Source organism: Homo sapiens, chromosome 21 (genome assembly GCF_000001405.40).
Source record: "Homo sapiens chromosome 21, GRCh38.p14 Primary Assembly".
NCBI lineage: Eukaryota > Metazoa > Chordata > Mammalia > Primates > Hominidae > Homo > Homo sapiens.
Window position 1 is genome coordinate 28865899 of NC_000021.9, and position 16176 is coordinate 28882074.

Here is a 16176-nt window from a genome sequence, read left to right on the forward strand (position 1 = left end):
CTAAAGTTGCCCTTTTCTTTTCTTTTTTGAAACACGGTCTCACTCTGTCACCCGGGCTAGACAGCAGTGACACAATCAAAGTTCACTGTCCTTTTATTGGCCAATAAGAATAGTATAAGTTTTGGCAGGCACAGTGACTCATGCCTGTACTTCCAGCACTTTGGGAGGCTAAGGCAGGGGTGGATCACTTGAGTCCAGGAATTGGAGACCAGCCTGGGCAACATGGTATGGCAAAAGCCTGTCTCTACAGAAAAAACAAAAACAAACAAAAAAAAAAACACACACACACAAAATTAGCCAGGCATAGTGGCCCGTACCTGTAATCCCAGCTACTAGGGAAACTGAGGTGAGAGGATCACTTGAGCTTGAGAGGTCAAGTCTGCAGACAGCCGAGATCACAATACTGCACTCCAGCCTGGGCAACAGAGCGATCCTAGCTACTCGGGAGGCTGAGTCAGGAGAATTGCTTAAACCCAGGAGGCAGAGGCTGCAGTGAGCCAAGATCATGTCACTGCACTCCAGCCTTGGTAACAGAGTGAGACTCCATCTCAAAAAATAAATAAAGAGCACACATTCTTCTCTACAGTCTAATAAGCATTAGTTTCACATGGTGAAACTCCCCTCTCTACTCAAAATACACGAATTAGCCAGTTGTGATGGTGCACATCTGTGGTCCCAGCTACTCCAGAGGCTTGTGTGATGGCACATGCCTATAATCCAGCTACTTGGGAGGCTGAGGCATGAGAATTGCTTGAAACCCGGAGGCAGAGGTTGCAGTGAGCCAAAATTGCGCTACTGCACTCCAGCCTGGGTGACAAAACAAGATGCTGTCTCAAAAAACAAAAAAAGGAAAGAAAGAAAATTGACACGATTGAGTAGAAAATGTTTGCAAAATGTAGAGATTAGTAGCCAGAATATATGAATAATTAGTTCTTACAGATCAACAAGTAAAAAGACAACAGAAATCTGATACAAAATGCTTAAATGACAATAAAGCAAAAATACCTAATGGCTAATAAACATATGAAAATTTCAACCATATTATTCATTAGGAAAATATAAATCAATACTATATTAGACCTACTAGATTGGCAAAATCTAAGAAGTCTAACAGTCCCAAATATTGGTGAAGATATGGCGCTACAGAAACTCATATACACTACTGGCAAGTAAACTGGCATCTTTCTGGAAAACAATTTGGCATTATCAGGTAAAATGAAACATAATTGTACCGTATGATTTAGAAATTCCACTTCTAGGTATTGACTAGAGTACCAACAGACATGTACAGAGATGTTTATAGCAACATTATTCATAATAGTGAAAACTGGAAACAACCTAAAATTCAATGACCAAAGTATGAATAAATGAATAGTGGAATATATTGGTGAAAATGAGTGAATAACTCTTCAACATGGAGAAGTTGCACAAAAATATTAAGCAGAAAACTCAATTTGAGACATTTATAAAAATCTTTTTATAATCTATAAAAAAATCCCAATGTGCCATCACCAAGGGCAAGTGAAAAATTGTTGACTCCAGTGAGGCAGAACTAAAGGAAGTTCTAACAAGGGAAAATTGCAGCACACTGCACTGTCGAGAAATGTAAAGGATCTGAGATTTTACTCCACTTGCAACCCAAATTAGTCTGCCACAGTTTCACTGTTGGCAGAAAAAAACAAGGCTTTTGGGTCAGAGACAAGGAACTTTATTACTCATAGTATTCATACAACAATTAGCATGAGCAACAGCATGTTTCATCAGTTTCCCCTTGCCTCAAGTCTTATGGGGGTAACATGGATGGGCCCAGATGGATCTGACCTCCTTGGCCTCCCACAGTGCAGGGATTACATCACGTCCAGCCTCAATTTTCTTTATAATGCCTTTTGACGAACAAAACCCTTTACTGCAACTGGATTTATCAGTCTTTTAGGGTCTGTGATTCTTTTTTATTTTATAGATACTCTTTCCCATTCCATTGTCATAAAAATATTCTCCTATATTTTTTCCAAATTTAAAATTCAACCTTTTTATTTACAACTTAATCAATTTTAGTGGACTTTTGTATATGGTGTGAGGTAAGAATCTAATTTCATTGTTTCCCTTTGTGTATAATCACTTATACAGTACTATTCCATTTGTTCTGCAGTTCCATTTCATCATATACACATTTCTATATATGTACATGTTTCTTTATGGACTTTCCATTCTGTTTCAGTTTATTTATCTTTGGGTCAATATAAAACTATCTTAATTACTGTTGTTTAATAATAAGTATTTGGCATCTGAGTAGCTCAAGCTCTCTCATGCTCCTCCTATTATCTAGGAGTGTCTAGGCTGTTCTTGGTCATTTGTTCCGGTTTTATGAAAAACACTTTTGAGATTTTGACTGGAATTTTACTGTAAGTATAGGAACAATTGGTATCTTTATAACAGTGAATCTTCCTAGTCATAAACATAAAATAACTTTCCATTTACTTAGGTATTTAAAATATCTTTTAGGCTGTGCATGGTGGCTCATGCCTGTAATCTCACCACTTTGGGAGGCCGAGGTGGAAGGATCGCTTGAGCTCAGGCGTTCAAGACCAGCCTGGGCAACATGGTGAGACCCCCGTCTCTACTAAAAATACAAAAAATTAGCTGGTTGTGGTGGTGCACACCTGTGGTCCCAGAAACTCAAGAGGCTGAGGTGAGAGGATTGCCTAAGCTTGTGGGGTGGAGGTTGCCGTGAGCCAAGTTCACGCCACTGCACTCCAGCCTGGGTGACAGAGCAAGACCTTGTCTCAAAAAACAAAAAAGTATTTTAATCAAATTGCATGTTAGTCCTGTACACGTTATATTTATTCCATGATGCCTTATTTATCATTTTTAGTCGTATTATTAAAATACATTTTCCTGCTTTGGGGGACTAACGCATAGAAATACAAATGATTTCTGAATATTGTTATTACAGGCAACCACTTTCCTAAGCCCTCTTATTATAATAAGTCAGTGGTTTTTTAAATATTTTCTTGGTAAATAATATCATCTGTTAGTGATGACAATTTTGTTCGTATTTTCCTATCCTTTTCCCTTTCATTTTTTTTTTTCTTTATTTTGCTGGCTAGGACTTCCAGTGAAAATGTTGAATAGGAGTGGTAATAGGTGGCAATTTTCTCGTTTCTGATTCTTATAGGGAATGCTTCCAGTATTTCTACTTTCAGAATATTTGCCACAGTTTTTTGTATACAGACCATGTTGGGTTAAGAAAGTTCCTTCTCTTCCTAGTTTGCCAAGTGTATTGAATTTCAACAAACGTATATCCACATCTGTTGAGGTGATAATGTGTTATTTTTCTTCCCTTTAACCTATTAGAATGATAAATGGAATTTATAGATTTTTCTATTAAACCGTGGTTACATTCCTGGGATAAACTCAACTTGGTCACAGTGTATCATCTGTTTTATATATACTGCTAGATTTAGTTTGTTGAAGTTTTCTTCTTTTTTCCTCTATGTGAATGTGGTTGGCCTGTCACTTTCCTTTCTTATATAACCCTTATCTGGTTTTGTTATCAAGGTTTTTGTCTAACACAATTATTTAGGGGAAAGAATTATAAGAACCACTTCTTCTTCTTGGGCATACAGTTCAACTATATTGGAACCACCTGAATGAGCCCTGGCCACTGGAATTTGAAGTCACTTATGCTACTTCCAGGACTGGCTCGAAAATCTCTCATGCATAATCTTCCTCTTTTTTCCATATCCACGCTGACTTAGAGGTTACAGGCTGACTGTGATGGTGGCACAAAACAGAGGGATCCTCAGTCTCCGAATGACTAAATGGAATAGAACACTTTCTATGCTCTGGACAAAGCACATTAGATTATAAAATGCATAAGCAATAAATTTTTAGTGTGTCACTAATAAAGAACTTGGTACATCAGTTGAACCTCTGCACATGAGAATAACATAGACTGTAAGATCGTGGCCCAGTTCACATGAATTTAAAATAATAAAATGTATACCCAAGAAACTCTCTGGCCAACTTCAGAACTGGAACACTGCCAGTCCCTTTATGCTGTTTATCTGGGTGCCTGGTTCTCCTCTAGCCTTTCTCCCAGTCATCCTTACCTCCTCTCATCCAACCGGTTAGCACTAGCCTGAATTTTTTGTTTATCATTATGTTGTTGCCTTTTTGTTTGCTTTGTTTTGGTTTTCTCTTATACTAAAAGACTTTTCAAATATATTTTAGAACAGTTTTAGCTTTACAGGAAAACTGATAAGGAAGTACAGAGAGTTTTGTTGTAGACACAGGTTAAAAAACAAAAAAAAGTATGGACTTTACACAAACCTCCTCTCCCTGACTGCACAAACACAAGCACAGTTCCCCCCAATTATTTGCATCTTGCATTAGTGTGGTATATCTGTTACAACTGATGAACCAATATTGATACACTATTACTAACTAAAGTTCACAGTTTATATTAGGGTTCACCCTCTGTTCAGTTAATTTTCAAAATGTCATTTCTTTTTTTTTTGAGACGGAGTCTTGCTCTTGTTGCCCAGGCTGGAGGTGCAATGGCATGATCTCAGCTCACTGCCATATCCGCCTCTGAAGCTCAAACAATGCTCCTGCCTCAACCTCCCGAGTAGATGGGATTACAGGTGCATACCACCACACTCGCTAATTTTTTTATTTTCAGTAAAGATGGGGTTTCATCCTGTTGGCCATGCTGGTCCCAAACTCCTGACCTCAGGTGATCTGCCTGCCTCAGCCTCCCAAAGTGGTGGGATTACATCGCACCCAGCCTAAAATGTCATTATTTCTTCCTTGACATATGAATTGTTTAGAAGCATGTTTTAAATTTTGTAAATGTATGGGGACTTTAAAATTTTATTTTTGTTATTAATTTATAACCTAAACACTTTATAGTCAGAGAAGATTAGCTATATCATATTGATTCTTTGAATTTTACAGGGACTTACTTTTGGTCTAATACGTAATTATGTTTGTAAACATCCCATGGGTGCTTGAGAAAGAATATGCATTCCCTGATTGTTAGTTTCAGAGTTCTATATTAGTCTATTATATCAAATTCACTGCTATTGTTCAAATCTCCTCTTTGCCTTTTTGGTCTCCTTGATGTAGTACTAATTGAGACAGACAATTTGAAATCCTCCTGTATGATCAATTTGCAAATTTATACTTGTATTTTTCTTTATTTTACATAGTATGAAGCAATTTTCCTGGACACAATTTTAGTAAAGTGTAAACCTTTATCATTCTTTAGTGTCTGTATTAGTCTGTTCTCGCATTGCTATAAAGAATTACCTGAGACTGGGTAAAGAAAAGAAGTTTAATTGGCTCACGGTTCCACAGGCCGTACAGGAAGCATGGCTGGGGAGGCCTCAGGAAGCTTAAAATCAGGGCACAAGGTGAAGAGGAAGGAGGCACGTCCACATGGTTGGAGCAGGAGGAAGAGAGCGAAGAGGGAGTGCTACACACTTTTAAACAACCAGATCTCGCTAAGAACTCACTATCACGACAACAGCAAGGAGCAAGTCTGCCCCCATGATCCAATCACCTCTCACCATGCACCTCCTCCAATACTAGGGGATTAAAATTCAACATGAGATTTGAGTGGGGACACAAATCCAAACCATATCAGTGTCCATGTCTATTCCTAATTAGCTTTTAACTTTGTACTCAGCGTATTAATTTCTGAGAGCTACTGTAACAGTGTCACCAACTGGGTAACTGTTTGTTGTAAAACAAACACATCCTCTCACAGTTTTACAACTGTTTGTTGTAAAACCAATGCATTCTCTCACAGTTCTTGAGGCTAGGTGTCTGAAATAAAGGTGTGGGCTGGACCATGCTCCCTCTGAAGCCTTGAAGGAAGAATCCTTGCCTGCCTCTTCCAGCCTCTGGCAGTTGCTAGCAACCCCTGGCATTCCTTTACTCATTGACTCATCACTCCAACCTCTGCCTCTGTCTTCATATGGCCCTATGTCTCTGTTTCTGTGTTCAGATTTTCCTGTTCTTACAAGGACACAAGAGATATTGGATTTAGGGCCCATCCTAATCAAGTACAACCTTGTCTTAACTTGATTACATCTGCAAAGTCCCTAATTCCAAATAGGAGCATATTCACAGGTTTCAGTTGGACACGAATTTTGTTGGGGGGACACTACTCAATCTAGTACAATCAGCTATTAATGTAGCTGATGCAGGATTTTTTGCTCCTTAGTTCAGTTAAATTTGGGTTATCACATGACCAGAAAAAATTAGGCACGCGTACACACTGAAAGGCGAGGAGGGCAGAATTTATTAGGCAAAAGGAAAGCTCTCCACAAAAAGAGGGGTCCTTCATGCAGGTTTTACACCTCACAAATTGAATGCCAGGCCACCACACACGAGCTGAAGAGGCACGGCTTCTCCCCTGCATAAGGAGCAAACTCCTCGTGGCTCCACCCCATGTGTGGGCGCTTAGTCTGAGCCACATTGATTTATTTCCCTTACTGCACATGTGTTGAGAAATGGAATCTTTCACAGTGGGCATGTTCATTCAGGCAAGCCACGTGTGCACAATGACCTAGGCAAGTCAGAGGCTCTCCAGGAACCCTTCTCTATTTGCCTAGGCTTGTGCCTGTCACCTTTCTCTTTCATAGCTAGCTGTTTTATAGATTGGTCTAATATATCTTTTACCAGTACTACAAGAAAGTGGCTTACATGATTATGGAGGCTAAGAGGTCCCATGATCTGTCATCTATAAGCTGGAGACCCAGGAAGGCCTGTGGTATAATTCAGTCTGAATCCAAAGGCTTGAGAACCAGGGAAGCCAGTGATGTAAATCCATCTGAGGACAGAAGATGAGATGTCACAGCTCAAACAATGAGGCAGGAAAAAAAAGGGGGGGGAATTCTTCCTTCCTCTGCCTTTTATTTTATTTACGCCCTCAACAAACTGGATGATGTCCACCCACCTTGGGGATGGCTATCTCCTTTACTGAGTCCCCCAGTTCAAATGCAAATCTTGTCTGTAAACACACTCAAGACACTTCAGAATAATGTTTAAACAGATATTTGGCACCCTGTGGCCTATTCAAGTTGACATATAAAATTAACCATCACAAGTTTACCCTTGTCAACTTGGCACCCATAAACATCTCTTTAAACCATACTTAACTGCCACATAAAGACAACAACAAGGTCATAATTCCATCTAACACGATTAACAATCCAGCATTCCACCAGAAACACTCTAACCCGTTTCCCAGAAGAGGTGGTAAAGTCTTCATGTGATGTTTACTCTCTCCTTGATATCCCATAACTTAAATACTATGATGTAAAATTAATCAAGGTTGAACACTGGAGCCAGTTAAAAAAATTAACAATATTTAAACACTATGCTATAAAATCAATGCATCTTATGTTACAGAATAAGGAAATGAGAAGAAAACAAAGCTACACACACACAAAATGTAGTTATAGCAAAATATGGAGGACATACTTATGACAATCACAGTCTGTGTTTCTGTAACTGGTCATATGATCAAAGCTAGTATTTATTCCACCATTTATTCTGTATTCCCTTTGCCTTCAGCAAGCACTTCATCTGGTCATGGTACTTACCTGGTGGTGACCCAAACCTTCATTCCTGAAAGGTCTGGATCATTAGTGGTCCTGTCTGAATTAGGCTGTAGTTTTCCATTGACCTTAATCACAGGGCATGATAACACTAAGAGATGCCCTAAGGAATCCTGTGTATTCCCAACATACTTTACCTTACCACCATTCGGGGTAGTCCAGTTTCTACTTGGTAGTCAGGAACAATCACCCAGCCAGCACTGTAACTCATTTGTCTATTGAGTTAGAGGCATAAGAAGCCCCAAATGGCTGAGGAGCAGTCTTAAACTTCCAGTTCAATTAAATCATGATTGCGTCTCTCAGTGGAAAATATTCCACCCTATGTAAGACCTCTAGGCCAGCAGTGCATAAGTCATGGGAACAGGAAGCAAAAATTTTGCTAGTGGGTCACCAGGGCTAATAGCGAATGGTGTCCTTCCTATTCTGACCCCTTGATTCCTGGACCTGTGAATCCCAGTCATAAGAGAAATGCACCATATACTGGATGTTGATTCAGAGCATAGACAGTCTTCTAGAGAACCTTGTCCCAGCCCTACAAGGCACTGCTATATAGCTGGTGTTATTACTGTCTTCAAAATGCCATTCCACTGCTCTATGTAGCCAGTTGATTCAAGATAGTAGGGAACATGGTAAGAAAATTCCATGATCATGGGCCCACTGCCACACTTTTGCTGTGAACTGAGTTTCTTGTAATGCTGTGTGGAATACCATGGTCATAGATGAGACATTCTGTAAGTCCACGGATGGTAGTTTTAGCAGACACCCTGCGCGAAGGGAAAGTGAATCTGTATCCAGAGTAAGATCTATTTCAGTAAGGATAAAACACTATCCCTTCAATGATAGAGGTGGATCAATGTAATGAACCTGCCACTAGGCAACTGACTGATGACCCTGGGGAATGGTGTCATATCAGGGGCTCAGTGTTGGTCTCTGTTGCTGGCAGACTGGGCACTCAGAGATAGCCTTGGCCAGGTCAGCCTTGGTGAGTAGAAGTCCACGTTGCTGAGCCCATGCATAACCTCTATTCTTGTCACCATGGCTACTTTGCTCATGAAACAATTGGGTGATGACAGGTGTGGCTGGAGAAAGAGGCCTACTAGTATCCACAGAACAGGTTATCTTGTCCACTTTATTAAAATCCTTTTTTGCTAACCCTTTGGTGAGCATTCACATGGGGCACAAATATCTTCACCCTTTTTGCCCATTCAGTGTCTATCCACATACTTCATCTCCAAATTTCTTTGTCACCAATTTTCCAGTTATATTGAACTCCCTGACCATCCAGCCAAACCACTGGCCACGGCCTATGAATTGGCATATAATTGAATATCTGGCTATTTTTCCTTCTAAGCAAAGTCAACAGGGGGACTGCTCAAAGTTGTGTCCACCAGGAGGATTTCCCTTCACCACTGTCCTTCAAGGTAGCCCAGAGGTGAGATGTAGTGCTGCAGCTATCCACTTTAGGGTGGTACCTGCATATCATACAGAACACTCTGTAAACCAGGCCTAAGTCTTCTCTTTCTCTGTCAGCTGATCACAGGGAAGTCCCCATGAAGCCACCGATGCAGGCTGGAAGAGAGAAGGCAGGTAGCAGAAGTGGGGACTACGGAAATTTGGCCTACTTCTTCATGTAACTTCCTTGTGCCTTCAGGGCCTCTCAGGCCCAATCATGTGTATACCACTTCCATCTGATGACAGAGTGTTGCTGTGCATATCCAACTTTGTGCGTTGGTGGCTCAGATAACATCCAGTTCATGATGGGAAGCTCAGGTTGCACGGTAACTTGGTGACTCATTAAGTATCAGTCTCTACTAAGGCCCAGTAGCAGGCCAAGAGCTGTTTCTCAAAAAGAGACTAGTTATTTGTTGGTAATGGCACGGCTTTGCTCTAAAATCCTAAACCAAGATTCACCTATAGGGACCTGCCAGAAGCTTCAAACAGCATCCCTATCTGCCACTGCCACTGAAACACCACTGGATCTGCTGGATCATATGACCCAAGTGGCAGAGCAGCTTGCACAGCAGCCTGGACCTGTTGCAGACTCTTTTCTTGTTCTGGGCCCTACTCAAAACTAGCAGCTTTTTGAGTCAATTGGTAAACAGGCTGGTATAACATAATGAAATTGGAAAATGTTGCCTCCAAAACCCAAAGAGGCCCACTAAGTATTGTGCCTCTTTCTTGGTTTTAAGAGCAGCAAGATGCAAGTACTTATCCTTCACCGTAGAAGAAATATCCTAACATGCCCCATGTCACTGGATCCCTACCAATTTCACTAAGGTAGAAGGCCCTTGAATTGTAGTCATATTTATTTCCTACCCTCTGATGCAAATGTCTTTCCACTAAGTCTAATGTAGTTCCTACTTCTTGCTCACTAGGTCAAATCAGCATAATGTCATCGATATAACCAATCAGTGTAATATTTTGTGGAAGGGAAAGGTAATCAAGATCCCCATGAACTGAATTATGACATAGAGTTGGAGAGCTGATACACACCGGAGATACGACAATGAAGGTGTGTTGCTGGCCCTGCCATCTGAAAGCAAACTGCCTTTATGGACTGGTATGAAAAAAAAGACATTTGCCAGATCAATTCCATTGCCTTACCACATAATGCTGAAATAAATATTTCATACATAATTTTTATATTTAAAATGCAAACTATAAATATAATACACATATTTACTTGTACTTGTGCAAATAATTCTATAGGCCTGACTGAAAGGGAATGTTCCACCTTTCTACCTTTTTTTAATGACAAATTTCTGATAAAATTCCTTGTTACCTAATGAATGACTTCAGTTTCAAAATATGCTAAATGCATTCAGTTTCCAGTAGTTCTGGGCACACACTGTATGCTAAGACTTGGTGAACTTGAGGACTGAAAGAGTTTCTTGGCCTGCTTGTCTGGAAAGTGCAGTGGTTCCTTGCAGACCTTTTGTCTTCATTATTTTCAAAATTTCTTCTAAAATAAAAATCAAAAGGTAAAATCCATTAAGCCATTTGGTAGTGTGCATGATCAATAAGCAATTTAATAAGTTAAACACAGATGATTTATAAATTGTATTCATCTGACAAAACAATGTATATCAAATAAATGTCTACTAAAGTGAACTTGGTCTTCAGCTAAATGGGAGCACTTGGTATTTTCAAAGTGTTGCTGGTGAGTCTAATCAGAATAAATGGCTTGCTTTGCAGTCACAGCCTACTTTTGACTCAGCAGAAACATTAATTGTCATTGTTATTATAGCAAGTGATCAGTTTTTTAGTTGATTGGCTCCAATCTCTGCCCTATGTCTTTCTCTTTGGATGACAAAAGCCAATGAAGGTGTGGACAAACTGAATAGTGACATTGCACAGTGAGAGTGAAAGAAGTAGCTTATTTCTTTCAGGCATATTGAAAAAAGAAAACCTTCCTTATAAATAAATAAAACTAAGAAGACTGAACTAAGACAATGGAGGGAGGGAGGGAGGGAGGGAGGAAGGAAGGAAGGAAGGAAGGAAGGAAGGAGGGAGGGAGGGAGGGAGGGAGGGAAGGAGGGAGGGAAGGGAAGGGAAGGGAGGGAAAGGAAAGGACGCATGGATGGACAGAAGGAAGAAAAAAAGAGAAGAGAAGAGAGAGAGAGAAAGAAAGAGAAAGAAAGAAAGAAAGAGAGGGAGGGAGGAAGGAAGGGAGGGAAGGGAGAGAAAGGAAGGGAAGGAAGGAAAGGAAGGGAAGGGAAGGGAAGAGAAGGGAAGGAAGGAAGGAAGGAAGGAAGGAAGGAAGGAAGGAAGAGAGAGAGAAAGAGAGAAAGAAAGAAAAAGAAAGAAGGAAGGAAGGAAAGAAAAAAAAGAAAGAAGAGAAGGGAAGGGAAGAAAGAAGGAAGGAAGGGAAGAAAAAAAAGAAGGAAGGAAAGAAAGAGAGAGAGAAGGAAGGACAGATGGACAGAAGGAAGGAAAAAAAGAAGAGAAGAGAAAGAGAAAGAAAAAGAGACAAAGATGGACAGAAGGAAAAAAGAAAAGAGAAGAGAAGAGAGAGAGATAAAGAAAAAGAAAAGGAAAGGAAAGAAGAAAGGAAGAAAGAAAGATGGAGAGAAGGAAGGAAAAAAAGAGAAAAGAGAGAAATAGGAAGGAAGGAAGGGAGAAAGACAAGAGAAAACTAGCAATCATGTGATTTGAAGGGCTGAGGACTTTTAGTATAAGCTGAAAATCAAACTTGAAGTGTACAGAAAAAGAGAGGAAAGATTATGGTCAATTTAGTTATAAAGCAATCTGAAAACAAAGATATAAAAATCTATACAATTAAATAGCTTTCATGATAAAACTCCTAACGAACTAAAGAGTACAGCACAATTGTCAAGGGCATGAAGACTAGAGGGTAGAGAGAAAATTCATAATACTGAGAGTGAGGTGTTAGAAAAAAACATTAGAGATTTTTATACTTGAATATTAGGTTATAAACGGGGAAAAGAGAAGATAATACTTTTTAAAATCAGAAAAATTTACCTCTGAAAACCTCTTTTCTCTTTCAACATAAATTTATGCCTGTATTAGCTACTGTCAGTGATTAACTGTTTTAAGTGATTCATTAACATGCCAGGTTATCTTATAAATTAAAGCATTTTACATTATTAACTTTTGATTTCAGCAACATAAATGCTTAAACAATAAATTGGTCTGTATTACCTGGGTTGTTTTCTTTAATGGTAACTAAATAGAATAATCCTCTTGGTGAAAGGAGATCTGGAACCAGGGGAAAAAACCTGTCCATGACTTCCCGACCATTTCTGCCACCAGCCCAAGCTGCCTCTATTCCGTGACTTCCTACCTGTGAACAATTAGAAAGAATGTTTTCTTTTAACTCAAGTTTGATTTAGATCACAAACTGAATCTTTTTGACAAGTAATATCACCAAAAAAGTATATATTTTGCATTTTACTGCTGACGAAGGAGCAGTCAAGTTGAATCTAAGTTTCATCATTTTCTAGTGTGTAACCTTGGATAAATTAGTAATCCTGTTTGTGAATTACTTTCCTCTTTTATCTGTAAAATTAGAAAAAGAATAGTTCCATATGTACAATTAGAAAAATAATAAGTGGATAAAAAATGTTTTTATTAATAAAAAAATATTTTTATCCACTGTTAGGAATAAATAAGGAAGTATATTTAAAGTTTTGAGAACATTGCCCTGCGTATATCAAGGGCTTAATAAGTTATTACTATTAATACAATGCTTAACATTGAGAGACATGGGTAGCTTTTGTACTTAACACAGAAAGAAGCTAGAAGGAACAGCTTGTTTTATAAGAGACCTACTGTACAGAAACAAAGTTTCAAAATGTCCCAATGCATCTGGCCCTCTTGTAGTTTAAAGTGTGAAACACATAGATCTTTTCTAAGGAATGCATTTATTTATTATATTTATATATTATTAAATATATATATTTATTATATATTATATAAAGGCACACTGAAGCATGTTTCCTCTAACAATCTAATTATATTTTAGAAATAATATCCAGGAGTTTATATAATATTAAAAAATCTTTAGATCCTTATCATTGTAGATTGTTTCTTTTTTTTTTTTTTTTTTTTTAGAGACAGGGTCTTGCTCTGTCACCTAGACTGGAGTACAGTGGTGTAATCATGGCTCACTGCAGCTTCCACCTTGTGGGCTCAGGTGATCCTCCCACTTCAGCTTCCCAAGTATGTAGGACTACAGGCGCAAGCCACCATGCCTGGCTAATTTTTTTTTGAGACAGAGTCTCGCACTATCGTCCAGGCTGGAGTGCAGTGGCTTGATCTCAGCTCACTGCAAGCTCCGCCTCCAGGGTTAACGCCATTCTCCTGCCTCAGTCTCCAAATAGCTGGGATTACAGGTGTGTGCCACCAGGCCCGGCTAATTTTTGTATTTTCAGTAGAGATGGGGTTTCACCATGTTGGCCAGGCTGGTCTTGAACCCTTGACCTCAGGTAATCTGCCGCCTCGGCCTCCCAAAGTACAGGATTACAGGCGTGGGCCATTGCACTCGGCCAGTTAAAACCTTTTGTTTTGCAAATTTTTTATTCATGATAAAGGATACATGTAATATATATGTACATTTATATTTGAATATATGAATATAAATACCATGGCCTGATATGAATGTGATTTTTAGGGATAGATATGTGTCACAGTTTGTATTTCCATCATTTAAGGTTCCTTTCCTAGGTCTTTTAATAGGACTCAATTACTGACAATTAGGAGTAAAATCAGAGTAGTCTGTGATAGCAGCAGCTGACTGATGTCATAGGATGACATTCATTTGATTTTACAAACAAAATAATTGAAAATATTAATAATTAAATTTTGTTGTATGTTTTACCTCTTGAGGTGGAGTCACTACATAGGGGGGATTAAACACCAGAAGATCAACTTTTTCGGTCAATCTTGGTAGCAAGCCTTTGACCTAAATGTATTCAACAACAGTAAGAATTTTACATTAAACTCTGAATTAAATAACTGACAAATTAATCTTTAAAAATAATCTCCCATGTTTTTGGGAAAATAATGTGTTACGGGCTACGCTTGTAGACAGAAATGAAGTATTTTTATGTTTTCATTCAGAAAAATAATACATGCAATTAAATAAAAATAAGGAAATTAAACTATCAGAATGAATATTAAAAAGCCTATACTCCTCAACAGCACATATATTTATATTCTGGGTTCACTTTTAGAAAATGAAATAAGAAAGCAAACTCTAATTCTGTATAATCTGTATAGACTTGGATATAAGTTTACAACTATATATGCTAACATTTTCACAATTTTTCCGATATCTGTACAGATACCTACCATTATTTACTGGATACTGTTCTATAGTCTCTTCTATCTCTGGTGTTTCACCATTCTATCAAAAACACTTACTTATACTAATTATGGAAACATTAAAGAAATTTTTAGGCCAGGCACACTGGCTCATGCCTGTAATCCCAGCACTTTAGGAGGCCGAGGCGGGCGGATCATCCGAGCTCAGGAGTTCGAGACCAGCCTCGCCAACCCATGGCCAACATGATGAAACCCAGTCTCTACTAAAAATACAAAAACTAGTCGGGCACAGTGGTGGGTGCCTGTAATCCCAGCTACTGGGGAGGCTGAGGCAGGATAATTGCTTGAACCCAGAAGGCGGAGTCTGCAGTGAGCCAAGATTGCGCCACTACACTCCAGCCTGGGCGACAGAGTGAGACTGTGTCTCAAAAAAAAAAAGAAAGAAAGAAATTTTTTAAATAAAAAAAAAAATCACCACGTTGATCTCATGTAAATCACTGGAGTACCTTTCTTGATATTCTAGCTTTTATTAGCAGTAACAACTTCTAATAATATGAAAATAATTTCTTATCTCTTTGGCTTAATTCCTTCTAAGCTACAAAATCATTTATTTAAAAAAAAAAAAAAAAAAAAAAAACCGGAAAGCTACCTACCCTCGTCATTGTAAGAAAAGTGCAAGTTAAGGAGCACAGAAGTATTTTGCCTTTCATATGTCTACCTGGTGCATGCTATTATTATTTTTGCCTATAAAAAGGTATTTGACATATATAAATTAAAAACCTACAAATTTAAAACTGCCACTTGAAAATGTGTGCTGTTAACTTCTTAAAACAATGGTTGTGCAGTTGTCATTTGTTGTTTTTACCTACTGAGGACCCACTGCCCCTTTCTTCTGATTTAATTTCCTTGACTTTTGTTAGGGAAGCTCTACCTCCCATCATTCTCAATCTAAGTGGCCTGAGTAGGGTTTATCCCAATCCAGCTCCTGGGATGGAACTATGAGGCATTTTGAAGCCAATCATCTCCACATTCAAATCTCCTTTGGCCACAGCAAAAGGTTGAGAGATAGGCACATAACCCAAGTTGATCCAGATAACACTCATTCTGGGGCCTCTTCTAGAGTAACTGAATAGAAAGGGCCTCTTTCCTTGGGAAGGTGTTCAGAAATAAGATACAGATATGCAAACATCTTGTTACCATGAAGGGAAGACTGCCTAGGAATAGAGCCACCAGAGAGAAGTTCAGAGATAAGAAAAAGATGTCTATAGCATTCTTAGAGTTCCTGGAAGTAGCTGTGCTGAAGCCATCAATTTTTTTTTTTTTTTTTTTTTTTTGAGACAGGGCTTTGTTCTGTTCCACAGGCTGGAGTGCAGTGGCACGATCATGGCTCAAGGCAGCCTCAACCTCCCAGGGTCAAGTGATCCTCGCATCTCAGCCTCCCAAGTAGCTGGCACGACAGGTGCGCACAACCATGTCCAGCTATTTTTTTAATTTTTATTTTTTGTAGAGACGAGTTCTCACTATATTGTACAAGCTGGTCTTGAACTCCTGGGCTCAAGCAATCATCCCACCTCAGCATCCCAGAGTACTGGGATTAAAGGCGTGAGCCTTTGTACCCGGACTAATTTTTTAAATTTAAGCCAGTTTGAACTGGGTTCACTATCACTTCTGACTGAAAGAGGCCTGAATTGTGGAAAAGGTGGATTACATCAACAAAGAATTTACTTTGTACATGGTATACTGCTTAGTGGGTCAAAAG

General features: G+C 38.9%; 1 protein-coding gene across 4 annotated transcripts in view; it reads right to left on the reverse strand.

Annotated features, from left to right (window-relative positions):
• HEMK2 (HemK methyltransferase 2, ETF1 glutamine and histone H4 lysine) overlaps nt 1–16176 on the reverse strand; it is a 309770-nt gene that overhangs the window by 290301 nt on the left and 3293 nt on the right. The window contains exons 4-7 of one of the 4 annotated variants that reach the window (XR_007067787.1): nt 13972–14055; nt 12294–12435; nt 10414–10593; nt 6715–6841 (exon numbers count right to left, since the gene is read on the reverse strand). Coding sequence is in view for 2 of the 4 variants with exons in the window: in NM_013240.6 (NP_037372.4) it covers nt 10487–10593; nt 12294–12435; nt 13972–14055 (333 nt within the window). In the remaining 2 variants the exon portion in view is untranslated. Of the gene's footprint in view, nt 1–6292; nt 10594–12293; nt 12436–13971; nt 14056–16176 lie in introns of those variants that run through there. The other 3 variants (NR_047510.3, NM_013240.6, NM_182749.5) reach the window with 3 other exon arrangements.